The 2,635-nt window shown below is 42.3% G+C and overlaps 2 annotated features.

Annotated features, from left to right (window-relative positions):
- Positions 458-957: an enhancer, noted in NCBI's record as "H3K27ac hESC enhancer chr5:143950051-143950550 (GRCh37/hg19 assembly coordinates)". NCBI's record gives its function as "activates a minimal SCP1, AML or CMV promoter by ChIP-STARR-seq in primed H9 embryonic stem cells {active_cell/tissue: H9 hESC(primed)}" and the evidence as "EXISTENCE:reporter gene assay evidence [ECO:0000049][PMID:30033119]".
- Positions 958-1,459: an enhancer, noted in NCBI's record as "H3K27ac hESC enhancer chr5:143949549-143950050 (GRCh37/hg19 assembly coordinates)". NCBI's record gives its function as "activates a minimal SCP1, AML or CMV promoter by ChIP-STARR-seq in primed H9 embryonic stem cells {active_cell/tissue: H9 hESC(primed)}" and the evidence as "EXISTENCE:reporter gene assay evidence [ECO:0000049][PMID:30033119]".

The following is a 2,635-nucleotide window of genomic DNA, read 5'->3' as shown; positions in this document are numbered from 1 at the left end:
TGGGAATTGAACAATGAGAACACATGGACACAGGAAGGGGAACATCACACACCGGGGCCTGTTGTGGGGTGGGGGGAGGGGGGAGGGATAGCATTAGGAGATATACCTAATGTTAAATGATGAGTTAATGGGTGCAGCACACCAACATGGCACATGTATACATATGTAAAAAACCTGCACATTGTGCACATGTACCCTAAAACTTAAAGTATAATAATAAAAATAAAAATAAATAAGTAAATAAATAAAATTTGGAAGGCAGTCTAGGCCACAGTGACTTCAATTCCTGGGCAAGTCCTTGTGCTGTGCTGGGCTCAGATCCAGTGGACTTGGAATGCACATTACCTAGTGAGACACCAGCTGGGGTGGCCAAGGAAATGCTTGTGTTACCGCTCTCCCAACTCTAGGCAGCAGAGCTTACAGCACTGGGAGGTACTCTTTCCACTTGAGAAAAGGGAAGAGAAGAATAAAGAGGATTTTTGTCTTGCAACTTGGATACCAGCTCAGCCACAATTAAAATAAAGCACCAAGCAGAATCCTGAATTCTCTGTTTTAGACCCTAGATCCTAAATGACATTTCTAGACACAACCTGAGCCAGAAGGGAAACCATCTCCTTGAAAGGAAGGACCCAGTCCTGACAGTATTTATGACCTGCTGACAAATGAGCCCTTGGACCTTAAATAAACATCAGCAGTAGCCAGACAGTACTTGCAATGGGCCTTGAGTGAGACCCAGTAGCATGTTGGCTTCAACTGACCCACCACATTTCCAGCTGTGGTAGCCCTGGAGAGAGACACCTTCTGCTTAAGGAAAGGAGAGGGAAGAATGAAAAGAACTTTGTCTTGCAACTTGAGCACCAGCTCAGCCACATTAAGATAAAGCACCAAGCAGACTCCTAAAGTCCCCAATTCCAGGACTTAACACCTGAATGTCTTTTCTAGATGCACTCTGCCCACCCCAGGCCAGAAGGGAACCTGCTGCTCTGAATGGAGAGACCCAAACCTGGCAGGATTCACCACAACCTAATTAGAGAGCACTTGGGCCTTGAATAAACAACAGTGATAGCCAGGCAGTACTCATTATGGGCCTGAAACAGTGATGGCCACAGGGAGAGACTCCTTCCACATGAGGAAAGGGGAGAGAAAGATAAAGTGGACTTCGTTTTTCAACTTGGGTACCAGCTCACCCACAGTAAAACAAACCACTAAATAGATTCCTAAAGTTCCCAACTTGAGGTCCTAGCTCTCTAACAGCATTTCTAGACCCACCCTTGGCCAGAAGAGAATCCACTACTATCAAGGGAATGAGACAAACCTGGCTGGATTCGCAATCCGTTGATTAAAGAGCCCTTGGACCTTGAATAAACATCAGTGGTAGCCAGGTACCACAGGCCTTCAGTGAGACCCAGTACTGTCCTGGCTTCAGGTCTGACCCAGCAAAGTCACAGTGGTAGTGATGATAGGGGTAGCTGTGGCACTCCTTCCCCAACTCCAGAACAATAAGGACAGAGAGAAAGATTCTGTTTGAGAAAAAGTAAGATAAGTGAACAAGACATTCTGCCTGGGAATCCAGGGAATTATCCTGGATCTTACCCAAGACCACCAAGGCAGTGATTCTACAAGTCTACAAGAATCACAGCATTACTGGGCTCAGGGTGCCCCTTAATGCAGATATGGCTGCAGTGACCAAAGACTTAGATCACAACATTCCATTCCCTTCGAATACTTGGAAAACCTTCTCACCAAGGGCAGTTACAAACAAGACCAGACTGTGAAGATTGGAATAAATACCTAACTATTTGATACCTAGACATTGACAGACAACTACAAGCATCAAGGCCATCCAGGAAAACATGGCCTCAACAAACAAAATAATTAAGGCAACGGTGACCAATCCTGGAAAAAACAGATAAGTAAACTTTCAGACAGAAAATTCAGAAGTGCTATTTTGAGGAAACTCAAAGAAATTTAAGATAACAAAGAGAAAGAACTCAGAATTGTATCAGATAAATTTAACAAAGAGATTGAAATAATTTTTACAAATCAAACAGAAATTCTGGAGCTGGAAAATTCAATGGACATACCAAAGAATGTATCAGAGTCTCTCAACAGCAGAATTGAAATTAAGCAGAAGAAAGAATTAGTGAACTTGAAGACAGGCTATTTGAAAATACACAGTTAGGGGATACAGAAAAAAAGAGAATGAAGCATGCCTACAAGATTTAGAAAATAGCCTCAAAAGGGCAAATCTAAGAGTTACGGATTTTAAAGAGGAGGTAAGAAGAAAGAGATTGGGTGGAAAGTTTATTCTGAGTGATAACAACAGAGAACTTCCCAAACCTAGAGAATGATATCATGTTCAAGTACAAGAAGGTGAGGTAACACCAAGCAGACTTAAGTAAGACTACCTCAAGACATTTCATATGCATATCCTCAAAGGTCAAGGATAAAGAAAGGATCCTAAAAGCCGCAATGAAAACTAACACACAAAAGAGGTCCAATACATCCCAGAACAGACTACTCAGTGGAAATCTTACAGACCAGAAGAGAGTGGCAGGATATATATAAACTTCTGAAGGATAAAGAAACTTTTATCCTAGAATAGTATATCCAGTGAAAATATCCTTCAAACATG

Source organism: Homo sapiens, chromosome 5 (genome assembly GCF_000001405.40).
Source record: "Homo sapiens chromosome 5, GRCh38.p14 Primary Assembly".
Lineage (NCBI taxonomy): Eukaryota > Metazoa > Chordata > Mammalia > Primates > Hominidae > Homo > Homo sapiens.
This window is presented reverse-complemented; position numbering and strand designations above follow the sequence as displayed.